The 26,190-nt window shown below is 45.1% G+C and overlaps 1 protein-coding gene and 1 long non-coding RNA gene across 2 annotated transcripts in view; one reads left to right on the top strand and one right to left on the bottom strand.

Annotated features, from left to right (window-relative positions):
* EPHB1 (EPH receptor B1) overlaps positions 1–26,190 on the bottom strand; it is a 465,208-nt gene that overhangs the window by 105,322 nt on the left and 333,696 nt on the right. The window contains exons 5-6 of the mRNA NM_004441.5: positions 22,097–22,432; positions 870–994 (exon numbers count right to left, since the gene is read on the bottom strand). Of these exons, the coding sequence (NP_004432.1) occupies positions 870–994; positions 22,097–22,432 (461 nt within the window). The remainder of the gene's footprint in view (positions 1–869; positions 995–22,096; positions 22,433–26,190) is intronic.
* LOC102724019 (uncharacterized) lies at positions 7,244–15,324 on the top strand. Its single transcript, XR_427412.4, has 3 exons — positions 7,244–7,416; positions 7,862–7,945; positions 14,741–15,324. It is a non-coding gene; the product is annotated as an uncharacterized LOC102724019 (long non-coding RNA).

Genomic DNA, 26,190 nt, shown 5'->3' with positions numbered 1-26,190 from the left:
GTTATGTTCACTGTTTATTGCCTGTTTCCCTCTGTTGGAAAGTAAGCTCCTCAAAGGCAGGAATCTTTGTCTCCTTGATCACTAATATATCCTAGAATAGTGCCTGTCAAATAGTTGACAATACTTACTGAACAAATAAGTGAATGAATAATGTGGTTTTACAAATAATGTGTTGGGTTAAAACGGAAGGCACTGTATTTTCCTAAGATTTTTGCAAATGCTGCATTTTGCCCTGGTAAGAGGGAGGCCAGGGACCAGCTCCACCAGGCACCATTTCCCTTTTCTTGGCAGCCCCATGCCCCACTGTCATCCTCAGAAGCAGATGCTCAAGAGTAGTCAAGGAAAATAATATATAAATTTATATTTCTGTTAATTTTTATCTCATCCTTTTGAATGTTCACTTTACATGTTTTTTTATCCTCCACAAATATATTAGTGCAGTAGTACATGCATATAATTTATAAATAAATTTATTTTGGAGGTACACAAACACTTTGAAAAACACTGATCTACCAAACCACACACTCCTCTGAAGGTTCGGGGACCCCTGGCAGTTTTGTGGCATCTGCATTAGTATATCAAACATGTGACTGGAAAAATGGGACTGGTCCTTCCCAGCCAGTGAACTATCCAGATTGCAGGATGGTGGACTGGAAGTTTCTCTCCTTAGTTGGCACAGAAAGTGCCTGGGCTTTGAACAAGGCTTTGTCAGGGCAGACCTGGAGAACTCTCCCAGGGACCTTCTGGCCTCTGTCACCAGAATCCTCCCCACCTCAGCAGCCTATCTCCTTTGTGCCTTCAGCTAGCAACCATCCATGGAACAGTGGCTGGCCTTGGGTCTTGCAAGCTTGCAGGTAGAGCTGGCTCACCTTCTCATAGTACCGGATCTCATAGTCCAGGATGATGCCATTGGGCTGCTCCGGCTGTGGCCATGACAAGGTGATGCTCCTCATAGTGGCACTGACTTGGTGCATGATGGGAACGGTGGAGGGGGCTGTGGAGAGAGAAAGAAACAGGGTAGCTGAACAGACACTCAATTATAGGGGAAGGGCCATCTTCCAGAGGTACGTAGGGAGAAAAATGGCATTCGGCTTGAACTCTGCTCCTTCTTTATCATCAGCTGAGCTGGACCTGCAGAACTTCCTGTGGGTTTTGCAGAATCAATGGAGATTGGATAACAGAGGAGAGAGAAGGTAGCATTTAGGAAAGGAAAGCATGTGTGCACAGGAGCTGGAATGGACATGGGACTTTCAGAGGTGGCAAGGCTTGACCAAAACAAGAGACAGTTGGAGGAATCAAAGGAAAAGACTGAAGGAAAGGAGGAACACTGTAATGTTTTTGAGAAGAAGGTGTTGAAGGAACCTCAGTCTTGCAGTTGTGGGCTGAGCTATTGCAGAGATGAGAACCTGGGGCAAGAGATGATAATGAGAGAGTAGAACCAGTTGGTATAGAATTACTCTACAACAGAAAGGAGCATTCTAGCAAACATCTATTCCTGATACTGCAAGTTAGATTTTATTATACTTTAAAAGGAAGAGAGGAGGTATCTCTCAAAAAGACATGAACACAGACCAACAACAGAGGTATGGTCAGAGTTTTCCAAATGAGGGAATTTCCAATAAGGAGTTCACAAGTATAAATGAAGAAATGATAAACAAATCAAACATTTGGGAACAAGATAATTCCAAAATCTGTAAAGTTGATTCAGAAATCTCTGTTTGGAAATAATATTATTTATTTCCCAATTCAACATTTTTCACATGGTGTAAGCAAAATGAAAACAGTCTGGAAATAATAAATGAGGGCTGTCTTTCTAGGGGAAGAGGTGGGTAATGGATGAGGCTTCAATCTGTGCTCTGCTCAGGGGCTGTTCCGTTTAGTCCTGGCACTTCTGCAGTGATGAAGGTCTTTTCCTCACTCAAACTCCACTTTACAATGGTTTCTCTGGGGACCGTGGCTGAGTGACATTTACTATCCTCAATTCAAGTTAACAGATTGCCCTCAAAGACCTGGAATTTACACTGCACAACTACGGGGTCACAAGGTGGCTGCTGCTTTCTCCACTACTCATTGGACCCTCAGTGAGTCCCTACTACATGCAGCCCCTCAGGGAGAGGATGCAGAGCACTTGTTCTGAAGATGCTGCTAGTCCAGGAAAGCCATAAAGAGTTAGAAGTGTGATAAGGACTCAGAGCCAGAGTGTCCTCTGGGACCTTGAAGGCAGGTATGCCCTGTTCCCATTAGAGACCTTGTGGTGGCTGTGAAATGCACCTCTCAGAGTTCCTACTCCTTGAAGAGTAATTAACTAACAGCTCCAGTTCCTGCACTCTGCAGTCCATCACCATATTCACACAGAGGCCCTGATTCCCACAGGCTGCTCCCAGCCAATGAATGAGAGCAGCAGGGATGCCATGGCAGACCCATTCCTGCGATATATGGGACTACTCTGATGGGCAACTTCCAATCAGAGACTCCCCAGTGGCCTTTCCAACACTACCTTATAACCCCCACAGCAAGCTAAAGCTCTTCCTACCCTACCCAATCCTCCTTCCTTCCCTCTCTCCTTTACAGAGATCAGACCTTTCTTATGGTCTGATGGCTTTCCCAGCCTCCTCTGACTCCCATCTCATTTCCCCAGTAAATCTTTCATACATCTAATCCCATCTTTGTGTCTGCTTCATGGAGGGTCTGAATTAATGTAGTTTTGATTCCCCCTACAACTTCCCTGTTGGGAATTTGCTGCCAAGCTCCTGCTGTACCCCCAGAGAGGGGAGACTTCTTGCCTCCAGGAGCTGCTGTTCTATACTTAGGTAAGTCTCACCAATTTACATATCTTCCGATCTTTATTTGAAAGTTATCTTCTTCCCACTGTTTTCCTTTCTACCAACTGAAGTAAGAAAGGATGTTCCCCCTCCCACAAAATGTCTTGTCAAATATCTAAGGAAACTAGTTAGATCTTCCTTGAGCTATTCCTGCTGAAAAAAAAATAGTCAAATATTTCTCCCATGACCATTACATGCCACCCAAGATGGCTCTTTTCCAAATGAGACCATGTTCCCTAAATTCTCCTTAGGCTTGGGGCTTGGAAGTGAATCCAATTCTCTTTCCACTATTTGAGCAGCAAAGATTAGAATAAAACTAATATCTATCATGATCTGTGTATTATATATCTATTAATATGACCGATAGCCTTTGGATCAAAAACATGTCCCTGCTGTTCAGTCCTGAAATGGCAGTTATATATAACCTTTAGGTTTCCCCATGGTATGCTCCTCATCTTTTGTCTGTAGAGTTGGCTTTTGGCTTTGACTATGAGAATGTACATGTATCTCAACCTTTACGGTGTTAAATTTGGCCTATTGGTTTAGTAAGTGGAAATAATTTATCTTGATTAAGCTGTCAAGTGTATTTTTTCTTGCCTGCAACTTAGTAGTATCTATAACCCAGGTTAATTAATTAATTAAACATATTTATTGAGCATCTGTCAAGTACCAGTCACTTTTTAGGTTCTAGAGGCACCATAGTGAACAAAATAAAATTTCTAGCCCTCATAGAGCTTACTTTCTAGTGGGGGGATTCAGCAGAGACTAGAGCTAATAAATGAATCATAAGCTGTGTTAAAATATATTAAGTACATGAAAAAATGGAAAGGGGAAAGGGACACAGGATGCCAGAGGTGAGAGGTGTGTGATCAGGGAAGGCTGCCTGAGAAGCAGATGCAGGAGCACAGGGTTGAAGGAGGGAAGGGAGGGAGCTGAGTGGGTATCTGGAGCAGCCAGGACAAAGGGGCTGATCTGGGGGCATCAGGGAGTCAGTGGGACCCAGAAGAGAGGAGTCCACAGGGGGCAGGACCCTGAGGGACACTAGAAGGAGTTTGGCTTCTACCCTGAGCAAGCTGGAGGGCCATAGGAGGACTGTCAACAAGGCACGGTGATGTAATCTGACTTATATGATACTATTATCACTCTCTGCTGTGCTCCAAATAGAATGCAGGGGCCATGTAAAAGCAGGAAGCCAATCACAGCACTGCTGTAGTAATATAGCTGGGAAACAATGGCTGCTAAGACCTGGCCTGAGCAGCACAGTAGGCAGATTCTGAATCTATTTAGAATATTTCCATGAATATGGGATGTGGAAGAAACAGAAGAGTCAAGTGACTACAAGGGTTTTGGCCTAAACATCTGGAAGAATGGGGCTGCCATCAACTGAGAACAGGGAGACATTTCTAGAAGCAGTTTGAGAGGAGAGCCCAGGTGCTCCACTTCAGACCTGTTAGATTTGAGATGTCCAAGGTGTCCCAGAGCAGATGCTGAGTACCAGATAGGTGCATAAGGTCCATGTTGGAGACCAATGTGGAGTCACCAATATTTCACAGATATTGAAATAAGTGGAACTTGCAGAGATCACCAAGAGAATCAATAGATAGAAAAAATTCAAGATTCAGAAGATGAGGAGAAAACACTAAAGAGGCCTGAGAAGGAAAAGCCACCAATGAAGCAGAAGAAAAACCAGGAGAGTGTGATCGCCTAGAAACCAAGTGGAAATAAGGTGCTCCCAGGAGGACAGAATACGTTAAATGCTGTTGCTAAGTCAGGTAAAATGAAAGTAAGAGCTGAGTCCTGGACTTAGCAACAAGGCTTGATGGTTAAATATGTGAATGGCCTGTGATCATCTTTCCCAACACCTTGCAATCACGGGACAGAGTCATGGGGGAGGATAAAGACAGTTCAGGGAAGGCGAGGCAGTTTTCTGGAATCAGTCCAGATCATTTGAGGATCCCAGTGGGTCCACAAAGACAGGGTGAACAAATAGCTCCTGACAGTTCTTTCCTTCCACTGCACGCTGTGACTCTCAGGCTGCCCTTGCAGACCTCTGCGGAGGCACAATTTACATGTTGTGAATCACGTCAGTTTCATACAGGACTTCAGAGTCCCTCTGTCTTGAGAGCTGAAACATCATGTATTTAAAAAATGGAAAGATCAATGCTAATGGCCTGAGGATTTTGCCGGGCTTGGTTCTTCTCCTTGCCTCTACTCTCTGGAAAGCCATCATTAAAAACTCAAGATATTTGCCAAACACTGTGCCAGTCCTGTTCTAAGCACTGGGGACAGAAGAACAAGTAAGAAAGTCACAGCCCTGCACTTCTGTGCAGGAGTCTAGTTGGGGTCAGATGGTAAAGAGGCAATCACAGGGCAGAGTGATCCAGAGGCAACTGACAGTGAAATCCATGGAGAGAAACGCTCCTGTCACTACACATGGTATGGACTCCCCAGCAGTCAGCGGCACTCGGGTCTGGGAAGAGCTGCCAGAGGGTGATGGCCATCCCTGCCTGTATTTCTCAGATTCATGGCAATGACATGAGGGTTACAGGCCCTGTGGAAGACTGTGTATTCTCACACAGGTCATTCTAAATGGTTTACATTTTATTACGATGGGATTTAGCACATGGGAGAAAGCAAGAAAGCATTTCTTATCCTCCCTGAAAATCACGGGCAGCTTATGTTCAGTGCTCTGCCATCAACAGTCACCTGCAGTGATGAATTTGGTTTTTCCCTCTCCAAGGGCAAATGTCACCTCTTGATCTGTTGTTTTATGTGCTATGAAACTTTCGGACAAAACAGAAAATAATAAGAATGAGCTCTGGTATTCACTCAAACACCAACTTCTTCTAGCAAAACTAAAGCTAAAGATTAAAGAGGGATGAGAAGATTAATTCAAAGAAGTATCCCCTTTTGCCCCCATATACAATGGTTTTCACAGTAAGTCCTGGCTAATTGTCTTTTCTCTATATTCCTCAGATGAAGGGATAGTTTGCTTGAACATCTGAAAGAGTCTCTTTTTGGCAAACACACATAAAGGTTTTGAATAAATTACACATTCTACTGAGAGAAAGAAATGAAAATAAAGAGTTCACAAGATTATTCAAATTTAGCAAAGAAACAAATATGGACCCTTCTTCAGAAAACGTAAGCAGAAAGACTTAGTTTGGGGTTACTTGGAAAGAACCTGATGAAGTTTCAAGAAAGATGTGTGAGGTCTAAAGAGGCAGTGCCCGGTAAATCCAAATGGAATCAAAGGTGCCCTGCACCCTTTCTTAGCAAATGAAGAGGCTGACCCAACAGAGTACAGGCACCCAAATAGGAGAGCAAAGAGCAAAGAAGAGTGTCATCAGACTCCAAGGAAAAATCAACTAGGGTTCAAACAGAATCAGAATGAGAGTGTCGAAGAAGAGAGTTATAGCCAACAATAAAAGGCCTTGTAAATGTGTCAGAAGCAGAAAGAGAATTAAAACATCACTGGTCAAGGGGCTCTGGGATGGAGAAAAACAAAGGCAGGCTGAGTGAGTGAGTCCTTTGTCTCTGTTTTTGCCACCAAAGACTTTGGGGAAAACTTACTCTCAAATTGCTTTTAAAGCAGACAGATCCAAGATAGTATATCACATACAGCAGAGGAAGAGCACAGAATGTTCTTGCCTGAATTGACAAAGGAGATGTGAATAAATTACAGGGACAGGATGGCCCTAGCTGCAAGTTGTGAAAGAGCTCACAGATGACGTGGAACAAATGTTGGCCCAAACTAGTCACTGACCACTGGTCACTGCCAGTAGTATCGAAGATGCAGCCTGGCAGACCACCAGACAGCCCTCCATTTGTACAAACGGTCCCAAAGGGAACTGTGAAGTCCCAGGAGACTCAGGCTGGGTCTGAGATGGTGGCATGACTCTATCTCAAAAGTTAATAACCCAGACTCTGGATCCTAGAGTTCTGATGTGCAGGAGTTTTACTGTCATATCACAGGTTCACGTGGGCCAAGCATTTTATGTTTATGACATTCCTTGACACTTTAATTTAGTTACCGACTCAGTTATCTTCAAAGGTTTCTTCTTACTCATTTTGTTTTCCTTATCTGATAGGGGCATCCTCCTCCAACAATTAAGCATCTCAGATTCCAAAAATACAAGATTTACTTGATGCTTTTTTTCTAGGACAATTACTAAGTTTTAATACATTACAATGCTTATTAAAAATACTTCACAATCTTTTAGTTGATTTTTGTGCCAAAATACTTCTTTCAACAGTTTTAACCATAATCAGTTTTGGGACCTAACAAATGATATAACAGTTTACTGTGTTAAAATTAACGTACATACACTCAGACTTCAGTTGATCTATTGGAGTAAAATGTTTAAAGAGGTTATAAAATTATGAAACTCAGATTTCAGAGTTCAGCAAATCTTATCTAAAAGGGAAAACAGTGTTGTGTGTGTGGGTGGAAATTGTGACGGGGACAGCCTTGTTTGAGGACATCTCTTGCCAGCTCTAGGAAGATGTAGGTCACAGCTGAGCTGCCTCTGCCTTAGCTTGGGCAAATGCTCTAGCAACTCTTCTAGACGGCAAATGCTGTTTCCAGTGAGAGGTACTTTCACATCTAAAATTCCCAAGGAGACCCATACAAAGAGGAGGCCATCTGCCTCCCCAACACAATAACTCATGGGTGGACAGGGTAGAGTAGTTTTCCTTGGCCCTTCCATACAGTGTGTGTGTTGGAGGGTGCCCTCCCAGTGACCCCCCAGAGTGATGCTGCTGCCCCAGCCTGCACAGTGTGAACCTAAGGCTTGGTAACCACTTTTACCCTCATAGGGCATTGCTTTGTCTGGGAGAAATGCTCCTCAGTCGAGGAATATTTGGGTTGAAGAATAATGCCTCTATAAACGTTCATACACAAGTTGAAGAATAATGCTTCTATAAACATTCATACACAAGTTTCTGTGTGGACATATGTTTGCATTTCTCTTGGGAATCAACCTAGGATTGGAACTGCTGGATCATATGGTAATACTAACCTCTTCTATTCTCTCTAGAACAGCGTTTCCCAGCCAAATCATCCTTGGACTAACTACCTGTGATCTATAGCACAGACCATAGCTGTGAAGAAAACGGGTAAGGTAAGGAATAGTAAGGAGCCTAGGGCCCAGCTCAGAGCAGCAGGAGTTAGCAGAAATAAAGAAGGGCTGTTGTCAGGGCCCTCCAGGTGCTGCAGAGAGATGTGTGTGCCTATTCTGGCTCTGCCATTTGCTTATTATGTGATCTTGGGATAAGGTTAACCCAAGGCCTTGTCTTCTTTGGGCCTCAGGTCCTTCAACTGTAAAATAGGAATATTAATTCTTATGTTATTAATTTCCCAAATGTTTTGAAGATGTTCTCTGTGTGGTCTCTTGCTCCTTTCAACCAGATCCCACCTGCCAGGCTGGGGACTTGGCAACCACCCCAAACTATCCTTCTGGGTCCACTGCTGTTCACATATGCAAATCAATCACTGGGCATCATTCCCCAAGGTAAATGTAAAAAGTGGGATCCAGAGACAGCCTCAGGTATTTATCTGATAAATATCTTTGAGAGGATATATAAATATGTCGACCAAGCCATGGTGGATGTGATAGATACAAATGGGCTTGGAGAAAGGGGAAGCTAGCAAAGAGCTGGGTTCCCCAGAGGCTGGAGTGATAAACGCTCCAGAAGAGAGCTGGTTTCCCTTGAACATTTTGAGATAACCTGAAGCAACCTAGAAAGTAAGTGATAGGGTATCTTGTCCCTAAGGATAAGGAGACCGAGTGACTCTGGACAGTGAACAAGCATAGCCTTCCCATCTAATGTGTGGCTCAGGCCCAGGAGCCCCCGATGCTCCCATGGCCCTGCCACTGCCTCTCCACAGGTCTCGTCACCTGTATCTCATTGTGCCTCATGTACTTACCATCCTAACTCTCTTGTCCACCTCTAACTTCTTCACTTCAAACTACTCTGTAGCCATATTAATCTTTCTAAACTCAATTTTACCTTTGTTACTCCAATGCTAAAAACCTTCAATGGCTCACCACTAGAAAAAGCCCTAATTCCATTCCCTGTGGGCATCTCTTTTCTTGACCTTGCCGGCCTTTGAAGGCACAGGGGGAGCCTCACACTGCCCCACACTGCTTATCCTTGCCTGACCATGCCCACCAGAGTGCCCTTTCCTGCCTCCCAACCCAAAGCCCCTTGGGGTGTGATCTCCACTTTGGGACACAGTGCACTGTGATCTACCTTCCGAGGTGCTCACCTCTGCTCTCCATCAGTGCAATAAAGTCTTTAGGCAAGGACCATGTTTTTAGCCTCTTCACACTGTGCTAGCACATAATAAATGTTCAACAAAAATTTACTCTTACTGCAATGATTGCGGGCTCTTCTCTAAAGACCTCAGAGGTAAAAGGAGTCAGAAAATCCCTTAGTTCTAACAAACATGAATATTGGCCTTTGAAGGAGCATGAGGTGGAAAAGGGAGCCAGGGTTGTGACTCGGCAGGGTTGAGTCAGCAGGGTTGAGACTGCATCTCACAAAGAACATAGAATAGGCCTGAATATGGTAGTCCCAAGGGATTAGAGATAGAAGTTCTTCTCTGTGGTGTAAATGAAGACACCTAGCAGGCTGGGTCCCTCCCCATCTCACTGGGATTGTTCAGCTGTAACGTTACCCTAATATTGGCAGTTTTCTATTTTTTAAAGCTATGAAATCCTTTCTCCAAACAAAGTTCTCCCTGAAGTATAAAGTGTGAAACAGAACAATGCAGAGCTGCTCTGGGTGAATCAGAGCTGCTAGGGCCTTGAAGCCAGTCCATTTTCTATCTCCCCAACCCAGACTCTGAAAAGTTTATAGAGAGACCCAAACAATGCTGAGCAGTCTCCAGAAGTCCCCTCGAGGGACTTCTGTGAGATCCTAGAAGCTATGAGTGATGGGGTTGTGAATGAAGGATTGGGCTGGCTGGCCATCTTTTTTTTAAATATATGAAACACTTCCCATATCAAAAAACCAAAGTTTGTATTTAAATGTCAACTAAAGACTTCCAGCCCACTAGTACTCATGACCAAAGAAGAACAATTTGCAACACAGATGAACTGTGTTCCCTCTGACATTTCTATTCTAGGAGGTAACTTTGCTGAAAAGGTCCTGCTTAGATAGCTGGATCTCCCACTGTAGATGAAAACTCATTTCATTGCCCAAATATGCTTGAATTTTACATTAGAAGACCTGACTCATTAAATATTTTTGGTGCAGTAACACTTCTGGTCAAAGTAGATTAAACAAATAAGCAATTAATTTGGAGACTGGGTATAAATACAAAAGCAGAATTAATTATTCTTCTCATTGTTTTCCTCTATTGTGGACATTGGTTTCTTGTTTGCTTTTACTCTGGGCTTTGCCTTGAGATGTCTCTGACATTCCCTTCCTATCTTCCTCCTTACCCTGGGAGTCACCTGGGGACAGAGGACTTCCTTGGGTGTGTAGCTCTGCTCTGTGCTGTTGTAGAATCCTGGCTGAATTTTAGATGTGAATGGGATAAAAAGTGAGGGCTTCATGCCTGGCCTTCAGTCTCACACCCCAAGGCAGGGAGTCACAGGCTCCTCCTTCACTGGTCCATCCACTAAGGGTTTCGGTTCCGTGCCAAAGGGGAATGTGGGGGGTGACAGGTGGGGGTTGAGGGTTGGTGGCTGATCTGGGAATGTGGATTTATAGCACAGGCCCTCACTTCTGATGTTACCTTTGATGTGTATGTGTTTGAGGGTGGGGTGGCATTCTTTATTGGGATCATATATCTGACCCTGTAAGTTCTCAAAATGTAGTCCCATATCAGCCTCACCTGGGAACTGGTAAGACAGGCAGAATCTAGAGCAACATCCTAGACTCAGTGAATCAGAAACTCTGGGTGTGGGCCCAGCAATCTGTGTTTTAACAAGTCTTTCACAGGAGTCTGACACATTCTCAAGTTTGAGAACTGCTTGTCTGGAAACCTAGAAATCAGAATGTCAAAGTTTGACAGGGCATCTGAGGCCATTCAGTTTTGGTCAACTCTTACAATTTATAGATTAGAGCAATGAAGATAAGAGAGGGGAAAATGACTTCCCCAAGTCCCCAGAGGTTAGTGCAGAACCAGAAACAGCTGGGCCTCCTTTCCCTGAGATCAGTGTAGGGCTCCCTCCCCACAACTCATGCACTCTGCATTTCCAGAGCCTTGAGGAGGCCAGGCATGGGGGTGGGGACATTGAGTTACATCAGCATCACTAATGGATGGGCACTGCCTTCTGGGACCCCTTGTGCACTTAGGGAGATCAGGGGTCCCCACCTATGGTGGAAGTGTGCAGAGCCCTGTGCCTGGAGGAGGAGGCAGGCTGCAGTGTGTTCCTGGTGGCACTTCTGCCTCCTGGGTCACTGCAACCTGGCAGTTTTCCACAGCTCCTCCTCCCTGCTGGGGGAATCAAAAGATGTCTTAGAATGTGCCATTTATGTGAAAACTATAGCAAACCTGCATTCTGTGACCCTGCAACCATGGGAGGCTGTGGAGGTGTCTGTGGAGCAGGATACTCTTCAGGCAGGCATCTAAGCACTGTGATGGCTGCTGAGGACACAACCATTGGTACTCACATGTCAACTGGGGCATGTCACTGGCCTCTGCCTCCCCTCAGGCCTGCCAGCCTTTCCCAGGTGTAGGACAAGAGCAGAGCACTGGCAGCTTTGGTCTGTTTAATGATTGATCATGAACGGCAGTCCACTCCAAACACTAGCAGTGGAGAGGCCACAGGAGATACCCCACCGCAAGTTGTGTGCCCCTGTTACACCTGGCTCTCATCCCCACACATTCAGCCAAACCCCTAATGCAGCTGGAGGACCCACCACCACCACCCTAAGGCTGACATCACTGCCACCAACGCTGGGCAGGGGAGCTGCACCTGCAGTCACTGTGACCATCCTCCTCCAGGCCTGGAGGTCTGAGTCTTCTGGCCTGAAGGTCCAGAGCCCCTCCTCCTCAGAGCAGCCCACCAGGCTGCACAGGCGGGCTTCCATCCTGCCATGCCCACTCTTTAGCCCCTTTCTGGACATCACCAGCCCCATGGAGTTGTGGGCCTCTTCTTGATTCTGACTTTCCCACTGACTACTGAGCCCACCCCCACCCTGGGCCCTCCACTTACAAATCAGGAAACTCCCCTGTACCCACCTCCTTCCCTCAGAGCCTTCACTCCATGCCTGCATTAAGGAAGAGCAGCTGTCCCTTGAGGACACCTTTGCCTTGCAGCCCTCTCACCTGATGACAGTTTATGATTTTGCATCCAGCACACCTCAGGGTCAGGAAGTGGGGTGTGTCATCCTTGCTCCCCACTGTCTCTTTCACACCATCACTCGCCATCTCCTGCACCCTTTGCAAAAATGCCATTTGGCTAGACCACCACTCTCCAGGTCTTGGGACCACCATATGCTCCCTCCCACCGTCACGCCCCCATTCATCGGAGGCATGAGCTTCAGTCTTTGTCTTCCTCTCTACCCTGAGCCTTGCCCTCCTGTGTGTGAGTTCAATGTCCACTTAAACAATATAATCTCGGTTCCCTGGCCTCTACAACTCTTCCATGCCTGCCAATTTCCATGGCACACTTAGACTCTGCTTTGCCTAAAGTCACTCGATTTTCAAAATCACAAGTCTAAATATTCTGCTTCCTCACCACAACCTCAGATGAGCCCACTGCAACTCTTTTTGGCTTCATCTGGCACTCTTGGCCTTTACTTCCACCCAATGCATCTGCCTTCTCCTTTATTCATATCCATTATTATCCATCTTAGGCTCCATCTTTGCAATAACATAATTCACAATACTCCTCAAAACCTTAGGCATATGTTGCCTTTATCTTTTCAGAGCATATGACTGTCAAAACTCAACCAGAGGTATATTTGTGATCTGTTTCTTGTAGGGCCTGCTGTCCCGGAACCATATACTGCTGAGAAAGCCACATAAGAGGAAAAAGAGGTGGCTTTCTAAACGTGTGATCACCAACTTCAAATGAGCTCTCAATACTTTCCAGAAATATTGAATTTACCTGGGTAGTTCCATTTCCCATTCTCTTCAATAGCACTGCCAAGCCTTTTCCATTCTCCTCAAACTTTCAACCCCAATACTTCCCCCTTCACTCTCAGCAACCAATCTTATTTCCCACCTTCCAGAGAAAATAGAAGCCTGAATATCCAACTGCATAAGTAATATCCTGATTTGAGTACTCAAACTCTCCACAAATTATGCATGTGCAGAATCGAACCTGTCTTCTGTTGATGCAGTCCCTGAATACTTCTGGGAGCCCCTGGGGAGGTCTCCTCTGTACTCGCAAACTATACTCTCATTCTCCTGCTTTGCTTTCTTTGTTCTCCATGTCAGCTGCCTTCAAGACCCCTCAAGGAACACTGCTTATTAAGCCAGATGGCCAGGCCCCTCCCTGAGGACCTGTGGTCCTGTGGGAACATGGTTTTCAGTGCTTCCTCAGGCAGCACCAGGCTCAATGCCACTCTGAGAGCCCTGCCTCCATGGTTACTGGTGGTACCTCATCACACAGTCTCAAGGCTGCCTGTCTGTGCCTCAAACTTCATAGCATGCCTCACACAAAGCTACTTTCCTTGCCCTCCCAATCCTCTATCCTAGGCACTCACTCCCATCCAGGCCATCAGATGATGAAACAGATGGTAGCAGGACCTCACTGTCCTTCTAGGGACCCAGTCTCCTGCACACCCACCTCCTAGCAAGCTTCCTTCCCTACATGCAAGCCCCTTCCTGCAAACAAAGACCAGCCCGCTGGTTTAGGAGGCAGCACCAGCATGTGACATGGTGTAAGGTCAGCCAGGACACCTTATAGCAGAGGACACATTGCTGAGGGGCAGGGTTTACTGGGAGGAGAAAGACATGGCCTTTTCCCTTGGGAGCCCTCAGTCTGCCAAGAGAAATAGAGCCTAAGCACATAAACAACAAATGCACATCCAAGAAATCACTGTATTGTCCCTTTAACAAGCACAATTCAGAGAAGGGCAACATACGTCACCGTTTCTACAGGGCAGATGCGCTCTTAGGGGGCATGACTGGGCTGTTGTTCCCCCAAGCTGTTCTGAATGGTGAAAGCGTTTGCTCTTCCATCAAAAAAGAGAAAAAAAAAAAAAAAAAAAGGAAAGGAAAGAAGCGCACACGCTTTAAAATCCTAAGGCTCAATTCTACAGCAAAGGTTTTCCTGCAGTTTGGCTACCAGAAGGAAACTGATCCCGAGGCCTGAGGGATTGGCAAAGAGTTTACCTTGCACTGAAAAATATTTGTGGTCCAGCATTGCCTTTATTTACCCAGAACATTCAATGTGCCTTTTTCCTCCATCTTTCACATCCGCTCAGAGAAGATGTTAATTTTCTGAAATTAAACACTTAGCTTGATTACTGTTTTGTTAATTGCTGCATTCAGAAACCCCTGGTGCTCCTGCCTGTTTAACATGGATGGTACTGTGAAAATGATAGGCGCGGGGCTGGCATGCAGGGGGACAGACAACAGTGCTGGGATGCCATCCCAACCACCCTCCCTGCAATTGCTCAAGCAGCTGGGACCCTGCCAGTGGGGGAGGTAGGACAGGCCAGGTCATAGAAGAGCAACTCTCACAGAACATGGTTATGGTTTGGGGGTGCAGTGCACACAGGAAGCCTGAGGTCTTACCAACATCTGGGAGAATGTAAGGGGTAACTGCAATCACAGCTCCCCACCCAAAGGTGCCTGATAAAGGAAAGATCACAGAGACAGCTAAAGCTGCACCATTTGCTGATGCCTGAGATTACTTTAAGAAAGACTGAAGCATTCATTCATGTATTTATTTAACAAGTTACTAGTTCATTCAATGAACGTTTATTGATTGCTTTCTATATTTCAGGTACCCAACTAGACGCCTATCTGGACACAATAGTCAACAGGATGGATACAGGGCGTTCTCTCCTGGAGATGCCAGTCAGTTCATGGAGTTGACTTGACTTGCCACAGGAGCATGGAGGATGGATCACCTGCACCCTCCTCCCTCCCATCCTCTTTGCCTCTTTATGAGATGCCTCTTTATGGGATAGCTCACAAGGTGAACAGCAACTATCTAATAATCCAACTGGTGTCCCCTCTCCAATAAGGGTTATAACAATCTCATGTGGATATGAGATCCTTACAGGGTAAGAAATTTCCTCCAGTCTCATTGTCAGTAGCCATTTTTACTCCTGAAGCTATGTACTTGGAGTGCCTGGACCAAGATGGAGTAAACAAGCAAATAGGTCCCTGAGTCCTGTGGGCACTCTGGTACTCCTAGCAGAGTGAAGGCTGTTCTGGAGCTATTAGCAGCATCACAAGCCACTGCTCACAACCTGGAAGGAGAATTCCCATACCCAACCACTGTGTGTCCCAGCGTGTGATATCCATCCACAAGGAGTTCATTCAAACTGGTCTGTTGAACAATAAAATATCCCATCAAACACATTGTCACTGTATAGCAACATCCACCACAAACTGAAATGCTCTCTGGCAACGACACGTGGTTCCATCCTAACTTTTGAAATGTAAGAATGGGCACCACAGAAGAGGGTGGTACCAAGAGCCCAGCTGAGGGTCCTGCACCCCATCAAGTCACTTCCCAATCAGTCACCTGCTTACTTTGTGACTTTTCTGGGCCTCTGATCCCAGTCTCAGTGAGTGCTGTCGACTAGAATGCAAGCTCCACAAAGGCACAGATTTTTGTCTGTTATGTTTGCTGCTGTGTTCCCAGTGTCTAGAGCAGTATATGGCATGCAGAAAGGCCTTGAAAAATATTTGACGAGTAGGCGAATAAATGGGAGCCCCTAAAAAGCAGTACCCTTGAGCCAGTACTTGCAAGCAGTACTTGGTGAGCAGTCATAAAGAATGTGTTAAGTGAATGAATACATTTCCAAAGTTAAAATGCCCAAACAAACCAATCCCTTTGAGAGTGGTTGAGTCTCTTCTGTGTTCCTCTGAGTGGATCAGGGCTTGTAGCATCATCCTAAGCAACATTCCCTAAGTTTTCCTGCAAGGAGCCACAGTGGAGGAAGACTCCAGATTACATGACTAATCTGGGAGGGATATTAAGATGTTACCTGTGGGTCACCAGGACACATTCTCATCACCACTCCCCAGCCAAACACTTACATACTAATGCTCATCTGTGGGGACTGAAGCCATCTGGCAAATATTTATCAAGGCTCTCTGTGCCTGGCATTGTGCGGCTGCTCTCTCAGGAAACTGGTGGTAGGTGAGAAAGTGTGACTCTCCACATAGCTCACCATCTGGTGGAGGACTGCGAGGTTGCCAAGGATAGAAGCCAGGACATTGGTCAGGGGCAGTGCCATCTGCCGACCCTCTGAGCTCAACGGAGAACACATCATTGTTTGCAAATGGCCAGGGCCTTTCTGAGGCCACTTGGAAGTTCCTTCCCAATGCCAGAGCTTAAGAAACAATAAAAACAAAATTTTCTAGAATTAACAATGAGAAGAAAGCAATGAAACAAACTATGAAATTGAATTAAGAACAGTGAAAATTTTATTTGCTTAAGTTTTTTTTAACTTTTCTTTATTAACTTCGATGAAAGTTTTCTTTCAAGTCCTTCTAGTCTTTAAAGTTCTCACTCAATCTTTTCTCTGTGTTGGAGCAAATTTTGCCTGCTAATTTCCAATAAGCACAGCCCTTAAAAATGAACTGGCTTCAGCATATGGATCTTAACACTCCACATTTTTACAGGCAGCAGTGTAATATTGTTTTAATATTTAATTTTGAGATTTACATAATATCTTTCCTCCAAAGAGCTCAATATATTGCAATATCATAAAATTCCTTTTCATATTCAAAGATTATTCTTTATGCATGCAAATACTATATTTAACCAAGGAATAATGCAAATTAGGTGATGTATTCAGAGGAATTGATGGGCTAGGTAATTCTTTTGTAAGAAAATTAGTGTATCTGAGTGATTTTAACTGTCTAAGAACTTCAAAAGTGCCTTAAAAATGGACAAACTATAGGGGCTTGTAACTATTAACAGAAATAGTGCAGCATTTTTAAAAGAAAAGTAAATAATGGGTTGTGTCTGTGTTGTGGGCATGATGGATAGTATTCCACATGGAAGTGGCACGCAGGCCATACATGAACTGCATGTAATATAAATGTCAGATATAAATTGTGCTGATAAGATCATGCAAGTGAGGGGAAAATTGTTGCTTCTTCAAATACACAATGAGGAAAGATAGAGAGGCTCCTCTGAGCATCAGAATCATCCAATGGCAGGTACCTAGGTTCTGGGCTCCACTTCCTACCTCATCATTAGCTCACTGGGATACAGACTTTGCTACTTTCGTTTCTGGTGCCTACCCCTCCCAGCACAGACTGGAGAAACCAATATCTGTTATGTATCTGATACAGATAACATCAGTCCCAAACAAAGAAACTGTGAAGGCTTGGAAGGAAACAGTCTAGGGAGAAAAAATACGGCAAATTGCTCTCTAGCTGAAGACATATTCCCAGAAATGATGCTAATCTCTCAGTCCATAGCATAGTTTACAGAGTGATTTTCTATCTGCTCTCTCATTTGCTTGTCCCTATAGTACTAGGAAGCAGGTATCATGACACCTGTTTTATAGGCAAGAAATGAGGGATCTTGCCAGTTAAATGAACTTGCATGATTCATGTGAGGAGCAGAGAGGGGAAGCAACCCCAGGAATACCCCACAGCACTCTGCCACCATGAGCCCAGAGGTGAGGAAGATGACTGCCCCGTGGTGGAATGAGAATGGAAAACAGAGCATGCTTGGCAGTAAGACTTGGGTTAATCAGATTCACCCTCTGAATCAGAGGTTACAAACCATCGCCAACAGGCTAAATCCAGAATTGGATTTCTTTGGCTCTCAAGTGCTTTAAAATTTTCTAATCAGTTGTCAACATTTTAAATCTGGATTTTCAGCTTATAAAATCAGGCAGTGCTGGGCATGCAACTCTTGCTGGAGCTGAACAATGGCTGCCTCTAAAGTTCCCTGCAGTCCCCACCACTCTCTATTGCCTTGTACCTGGCTCTGCTTTGCTCCTCTCCATTACCTGCCTGGCCTTAGGGGTCTTTGAGTTTGTTCTCTGGCTTAGATGGTCCCAAGCTCATGTGCTGGTCTGATTCATCTTTTATACCCCCAAGATTTCCTCTGAGGTCTTCTTTTCCAACTTTGACACTCCGAGTCTATTTGACAGAAGAGAGAAGTAAAGTTTGTCATTCACTTAATTCTCTCTGACAGCCAGATGATCCGGCCATCAGTCTGAATCTGGGGCCAGATGCCAGAGAGTGACTGCAGGAGTTAGTGGTGATAACAATCTCTCTGCAGATCACTTGGCCACTGGAACAGAGAGAGTTGCACCTGATCTGGTCTATTTTAAACTCATGGCAGCTGTATTCAGTGCAAGGATGTATCCCTGAAGACCTCACATAAATCTGAGCTTGCATAATTCATGACCAATCCTGACCAAAGATGATGGACAGTTTTTGACAGCTAAAATGGCCTAGCAATGTGGCAACAGCTTAGAGAGAGCTTACGACTTACACAGTCCACTATAATGTGATTTTTCATCAGTCTGAGGATAAAATGGCCACAAAACATCTCACAGCCAAGAAATGATGTTTCTCAGAAATATCTGCAGCCTAGGGAGGTGCAAATGATGTTTCTTAGAATCCTTTGTTGGCTGTGAGATGCTGAGCAAATTCAAAACTGCTCTGACCTAAGTTTCTTCATCTGACCCACCTTCTCTGTAAAAAGAACAGAAACAAAAACAAAAACAAAACACTTGGTAGGGGTTGGCACATTGGAGGTGCTCAAAGATGTCAGTTCTCTGCCACTGCCTTTGGACTGGGTAAGGATCCAGTCCTGAAACTCTCCAAGTGATACCTGGTCCTTGAATAGTCATGACTATATACATAATTGGGGTCATGATGGGAGAAGATGAAGGCTCTCTGAATCTCAGAACTCAACAGACAAGCCTGTCTCTGAGTGAAAAACTGTATCTACCATGTGCCCAATGACCAAAAAACAAATGATAGCAAAAATCTCCAAGGTCTCTTCTTAGATCACAGCTCTTGGAATCAAGAAGAGCCTATTGTTGGAGACTATGAAATGGGGAGCCCAGAGGTACTGTCCACTTTTAGGACAGAACACCACAAGGCAGACACAGACAAGGGACATCCTGCTGATCTCTTTCTAATCCTAGATTCTCCAAATCCCTTTAAGTCTCTGCTTTCTTATTAGAAAAATAGGAACAATAATCCCCAAGTCATTGTGTAATTATGAGGATTAAATGAGTCCACACAATTCCAAAATTCTTTGTGAACTCAAAAGAAACACAAACATGAGGTGTTAACTATAATAATTATTACTCATCTATTTCTCAATCAGGACCCACTCAATAGTCCCCAGCCACTTCACAGTTTGGGCAGTTCCAGACATAGAGTACGCATTCAATAAACACAGGTTGACTTAATGATTGATCCCAGGACTCCTCTTGGTCAAATTCTTTGCCTGCCATCTAGCTACTCATGACTCAAACAGTAGGACAGGTGGCCACAGGCACAGAGAGGGGTCATACCATACCATGAAGCCAGGGGAGGAAGACTGAGCTAGATCTGACCCAGTGTGAGCTAGAGTGGACCAGCTCAGGGGTATTCTGGGAAGGTTAGACATGTCATGACCTGTTGGTAACACATGGGTCCACCCACCTCAGCCCTTAATGGATCTGAGTCATTAGAGTTTTTATGATGCCTACTTTTTAGTCTCTTGTCCACCTCTGGTAAAATGCATAGCTTCTGTTCATGGTTCTAAACTGTTCTCACAGAAGTTCAGGTTTGAATGTTTACTTTGATGGTTCTCATCTTTAAAAAAATACTATCTGTTGGTTGAAAATAATTTGTATTTACACATAGATTCATCAAATCAGTGCGATGGCACCCTGTTCCTCAGTCCACAGCCCATAGATTAGGAACCACTGGTCAACTTGATATTTGTTTTACAATAACCATGTGCTACCAAGAAGAAATTGCATCCTTCTCTCAGCGAGTGTAAACTCTCTGACACCAGAATTCCAGAGTTACCAAACAGGGAATCATAGATTGGAAGGTGATAATGGAGGCTAGGACTACAAAATCGGGGATGATTAAGATTAAAGGGCCTGCCAGAGGGGGAACAAAGCACATGAGAAGTGTGCTCATGGAGGTGCAAAAGGGTGAGGATACAAATGAATATTTTGCATGTTGGTAATGCAGGGCCCCTTGCAAGAGCCTTGGTCCCCCAGCTCCACTGCAGTCTAGGAAGGTGCAGATGGCAAGACAAGCAGATGGGCAGGTTCGGGAATAGCAGGGTAAGAGAAGGGAGGGCAGAAATAAAAGCAAACCGATATAAGTGGCAGGTTTGTTCGCACATGCTTAGAGAGAGAGAAAAGACAGCCAAGCCCAGTGTAACATGACAGCCTGGCAGGATTGTCATTCCCAAAAGCTGGGACACTAAAATATTTCAGCCAGTTTTCTGCCTAAACTCTTCAAGGGAAATACTGCTAACAAAGGCTGCCCATGTTACATGCTTAACATAATGCAGAAATTACCATTCTCCTTTCTTTGGGTAAGACAAAATGTCACAACCTTTGTCTCTACGGCACCAACACTGTGGTCACCAGCTGGAGGCTTCTACATTTCCACTCTTATTTTCTCACTACACACGTATGCATGTAAACACGTGACCATACACATACATACAAACACACCACATGAACACACACACACACACCCACACACAGCAGCAACACAGCCATCTGGACAGACATGCTCTCCTACGACACCTTTTTTCTTCTCAGTTCTGACAGCTTAAACTCAAGATTCATATGCCATCAAAGATGCCTAAGATGCCTGGTTTTAAAAGAAGCAGAATGAGTCTGAGGGTGGGGAGGTGAGTAGAAAAGGATGGAGTAGAAAAGAGGAGGTCAGGGAGGGGGAGATACACAGAGGAAGAGAGAGCAGAGATAGATGCTTGGCTCCTGCTATTCTACTAACAAGCTGTCCTTTTAGAATTTGTTAATTGAGAAAAATCTATAATTCCAAATAGCATCACGGTCCACTGCCTATGACCCCCATTGCCTGTGCATGTGATGTTCACTTCCCCTCTGCAGCCTTGCACGGTAACCCCGGGAGAGAGATTGCTCATTTTTCTCTAACTCCCTTGGTATTTACTGCATGCATATAGCATTTTACCTTGCAGCTTTGTGCTTTGTATCTATATCCTCTAAATTCTTCAGTTAATGAGTTTCATGGGAGGAACAATAGTGTCCAAGTATCACTGCATCCTTCACTGTGTCTAATCCACAGCGTGGCACACAGTACATGCTAAATGACTGTCTCTTAATGATGAACGAATAAATAAGTGCATGAACGGACTCGTTAAATTGATATAAAAATAAACAGATTCTTGCAAGAGCTGTGAAAAGTAATAAAGAGAAAAGATCAGAAGAGTGTAAGATTCAGAAATAAAGAGGAAGAAAATGTGTTCTGAGCTATGCATCCCACAAGGATGTGCTGGCTATCAGGAGCGATCTATTGCCATCTATCTGAGGTCTCAACAGCAGCATATCATTCATCAGAGCAAGCTATAAAGGAGAATACACTTTTGAACTACATAGATTTAATTGGAAAATGAAGGTAATATTGATTTTATCATATGATCTCTGGAAAATTTCTGTCATTGGGTTTCCATAAAGCATCATTTGTCGTCCTGTTCTCAAAGTCTTTCAGTGCCTCCACTCACTCACCATCTGTCTGTCCATCCATCTGTCCACCTACCTAGCCCTCTGTCCATCTGTCCATCCATTTACACAATCCTCTGTTTGTCCACTCACACACCTGTCTGTCCATCTCTTCATCCATCTTTCCAACAGGATTTGTTGAGCTCAGGCTGGATGAAGAGCACTAGGTCCTATTCTGGCTTGGATATACCTCTTTGCTTTTGTGCTGGGCACAAGAAAATCCCCTAGTCTGCAGCTCATTCTCAGAAGCGCAACACTACACCTGCCTGCTCTATGTGATCACAAATGCCCATCACCTGACACCTTCACTCCTGGGCAGAGGCCTGACAGTACACGGGCAGGATGGGTGTGGCTGCAGCTGTGTCCCTGCCTAGAGACAAAGAGCCAGCCACACATCCAAACAGGAGCACAGAAGCCTCCAGACTTACCGGCTTGGTTTGTGGTGATGTTGACAGAGACGTGCTGTGGGGGGAAGGGACTCTTGCTGGAGACTCCATTGATGGCCTGGATGTCAAAGGTGTAGGGGGTGTGGGCCCACAGGCTGCTGATGGAGACGCGGCACTCCGTCAGGCCCAGCTGCCTGGGCACAAACTCCACATTGTCGTCACAGCGGGAGCAGCTCCGGCGGTCTGCCCGGCACTTTTTGCAGATGATGTTGTAGGTCACATCATCCCGCCCACCTGTCTCCCTTGGAGGGTGCCACTCCAGAATGATGGACGTCTCATTGACGATGGAGATAACATTGCGGGGACCTGATGGGACGCCTGCAGGGAGACAAAGAAGGTCCAGTGAGGCTAGACATAAGCTTCCTTGTCCGGCAGCTCTCTTGTCTGCCTCTGGTGCATTCCCAACCTCATCAGTGCGCTCGCCTCCCACTCCTTCCTCAACCCCAAATGGCTATGCTTCAATTCATTTTAAAAGAAGAATAGGTGAACAGAGATGACAACTTGTCCCTAGCTCCCATTTCAGTCATCTTCACTGAGGCTTTTCTTCTTTCAATCATGTGTGCCAAGGGAAAGACGGTTCCAGGACCTGGGTTTAAGGCCTTTTGCTCTCAGGATCAAGCCACATCCTCCAGCCAGGTTTAGGGTTAATAAAATGTATATATATTGAACATTTACTGGATTCTTTGTCTAATCTTAATTGGTGTAGAACTCAAGGGTAGAAGGATATGAGTGGCCCCTCCAAAAACCCTAACATATTCTGAAATTCTGCACAAAATCTCACACATTTGGGATCTATCTGGTGTGTGCGTGGTAGCAGGGATGCATCTCTGTAGGGACAGGCTTCCAGAGCACCTGAATAGATGTATATTTACATTGGACCAGCTTTGGCACATGAGAAAAGAAGCAGAATTGAGTGGAAGAGGTTCATGTAGTCACTTTGGGCCCCATGACGTAAGAAAACACAGGAATGTGTTTAGACATTCTGCTAGCTGCTTTATATACATTACCTTATTTATTCCCCCCAAAGACCCCTACCAGGAAGATAAAATAATTATCTCAATTTAATAGAAAGGGGAAGTAAAGCTTAGAAAGGAGGCTGGCTATAGATCGCATAGCTCTGTAAGAACTGAAGCCAGTGTGAAAGCCCATACCTGCGGGATTCCAAAGCTCACGTTCTCAACTATAGCCCTGCTCTGAACAGACCTTCTCTTACAAACCAGACAGGCTCACTGGGACTCACAGAGGGCAGCCTCTTTCCTCTGGAAAGCTCTGTTTATGGCTACTTTTCACAATCTGGCAAAAACTGAAATGCCTTGTTGCAAAACTGTGGAAATCCTGGTGCTTCACAGAAGAGCAAAATATTGCTGAATTAACGGCCACAATGCTGGGCATTTTGAGATTAAGTTGGAGAATCTGCTGCCCAAAACCAGAACAGATCATAGCCTCAGGTTCCCAAGCCTGAGCCTTGCATCTCCTCAGTGTCTAACTGATAAAAATGAATCCTGCCCGGAAGCCCCCCTTTCGAATGGCAGGTCTGCTGGAGCAGCCGCTTCAGATAGTAATGCATTCAGAATTCATGCACGTGACTGTCACCAGCTGAACGAAGACATGTGTAAAGTGGTTCATGCTGGAGACAGGAATCAAATGCCAACACAAAAAATGAGGGAATAACAATAAGGTCGGGGGGCACCAGGGAAGGATTCTGTGTTGAATCAGTCAACAGCAAGCAGCTAGAGCAGAAAGCAAATATTAAATCGGGTTCTATTAAAACTTGAAAGAAAATCAGTACTGTACCATATAAAGCCCATTAGGCCTGAGCTAAAGCACAGCGTTCATGCACGCATGTGACAGGGCAGAATTCATGGAGCATTTTTACTGAAGTCTTGCAAACAGCATTCAAGAATTCCCCACCCATCTGCCCAGGAATAAACATCCATCTCTTTTCAAATAATCACATAGCTAGTGCTGGGAAGGCAGTCAGTACTGTCCCAGGTAGGCTCTTACAGGGCTGGGCCAACCTTGACACACACTGCACAATTCATTACCATCCATATTGGTCACTGCCTGTCTTGGACACATCTGTTTGCTTCTGACTGATGGGACTCATACCACAAGCTCTCAGCAGTCAACGCAACTCTTGTTAGTCTCACTTCTATAGCAGAGAGCCTAGACTCACCCGCGGGCCCCTGTTTCTCATCTCAAAGTAAAGGCATTCACTGAGTGCTTGCTTTATACTAGGTGTGGGGTGAATCTTTTTATCTCACTGCATCCTTGGGACATCCTGAGGCTATCACTCAGAAAGCAGCCTCGGGTGAAGGGGCAGAGGCAGGCACTGACCAAGAGAGTGATCATCCATCCCTCTCACCCATTGAGACTTTCCTCCTTCAATTATTTCCTCTCTCCTTTGAGCTTCAGCTACACTCTCCCCACTGACTCCAGCTTCTCAATGTAAACTCATACAAGTCTTTGCCATTTTCAAACCAAAACATCATCACCTGGCATCTATCTACATTGCACACCCTCTCTTCTTTACTCTTGGCTCAGCCAAGCTTTTGCAAACAAGAGCCTACACTTACTGTCTTTCCTCTCTCCCTGCTCAGCCAACTGAAGTCTGATTACTTCCCCACTTCTCTGCCATGACTGCTTTTCCTTTGGCTTTCTATGTGACAAATCCAGGGAACACAATTCAATCCTTACCTTCTTTGATACCTGTGTAGTCACCAGTCAGGCCCTGGGAGCCACATCTTCTGTATCACCTAACACATGGACCATTAGCACAATCTGTCCATCTTCCTCTACTTTTCCTTAGACATGTTCCTTCCTCTCTATCCTCATGGCCTCAGAATTCTGGGCCTCATCATTTTTCCTACCCTATTGCAAAAGCCTCCTAATTAATTCTCCAACATTGCTTCTGCATTTCTCCGATATAGTCTCTTCTGCCAGAGTATGAGTTCTAAATTGCACATGGAGTCATAGCGTTCTTCTGCACAATTTCCCCCCTGCTTCCTGACTATCCAAAATGGTTGCCCTCCTTTCCATGTCATTCAAGCCCCCGTGGGATCTTGCTTTTCTTGATCTCATCCCTGGCAGTTGACCTTCACCCCTCATATTTTGGCTAATAGAAATGTTCCTGAAATTTCCTGTGCACACTAAACTCTCTTCTTATCTCTGAGCCTCTACACAATGTTTTTCCCTCTGTCACAAGTTCTTTTCCCTCTGTATCAACTTGAACTCCTGCTCACTCTTCAAGGTCTAGCACCCATTCCACTAGGACCCTTCCCTGAGGCCCAGCAGTCATGATCTCCCTATCTGGGCTTCCATAGCTCATTTCCAGGTGCCTAAGTCAGATTCCATCATTGCATTGTGATAGTCTCTTCCTCTTTGTCATCCTCACCACACTGTAGCCTCCTGGTAGACAGGGGCAGTTGTCTGGTCTGTTTCTGTAATTACTATCCCCAGACAGCACTTTGCCCTCCCACCTGGTTTTCTACCTTTGCTCAGTGTGCATGGAAAAGGTCCCATGTATATACCCCTCTCCAGCGTGAGACAGGATGCCTTGCTGTAGGTGGATGGAGGGGCCTTGGAGAGGCCTTGAAGTAGCAGCAGTAATCAGTGATGACCCACTGCTTGTTACTCTGAGTGGCAGAGGCTTTGGTGAGGCAAAGGTGGCAAATGAAGAGCTGGATGGAGAGTTTTGCCCAGTCTCTCATCTAGTGGCCTCCCTGACAGCTGGGAAGACCCACCCTTGTCGATGCTGCTCCATGTCTGTTCATTTACTCCCAGCTGCTCAGGAGGAAATGCAGTGAGTTTCCTCCCCCACCCCCACCCCCCATTCCAGGGGAAGGGTTTTTTTCCATGTTGTTTTAATAAACGTCTTCATATAAAGCAGCCACTGCCCCCTTCCCATTCATGTGTGCTTTTCAGAGCAAATGCATCTGTGGCGCATGAACAGGGGCTTGTGAAGGTCATGGTTGTTGAGTGCAGGAGTACATAAATCTGAATCCCTTCCTTCCAAGGAGCAGAAACAGACATTAAGGGCCTTCCCTGGAGAATGGACTCAGAGGGCTAGGAGAGCC

The sequence above is a fragment of the Homo sapiens genome, chromosome 3 (assembly GCF_000001405.40).
Source record: "Homo sapiens chromosome 3, GRCh38.p14 Primary Assembly".
Classification (NCBI taxonomy): Eukaryota; Metazoa; Chordata; class Mammalia; order Primates; family Hominidae; genus Homo; species Homo sapiens.
The sequence above is the reverse complement of the archived record's forward strand: the minus strand, read 5'-3'. Positions and strand labels throughout refer to the sequence as shown.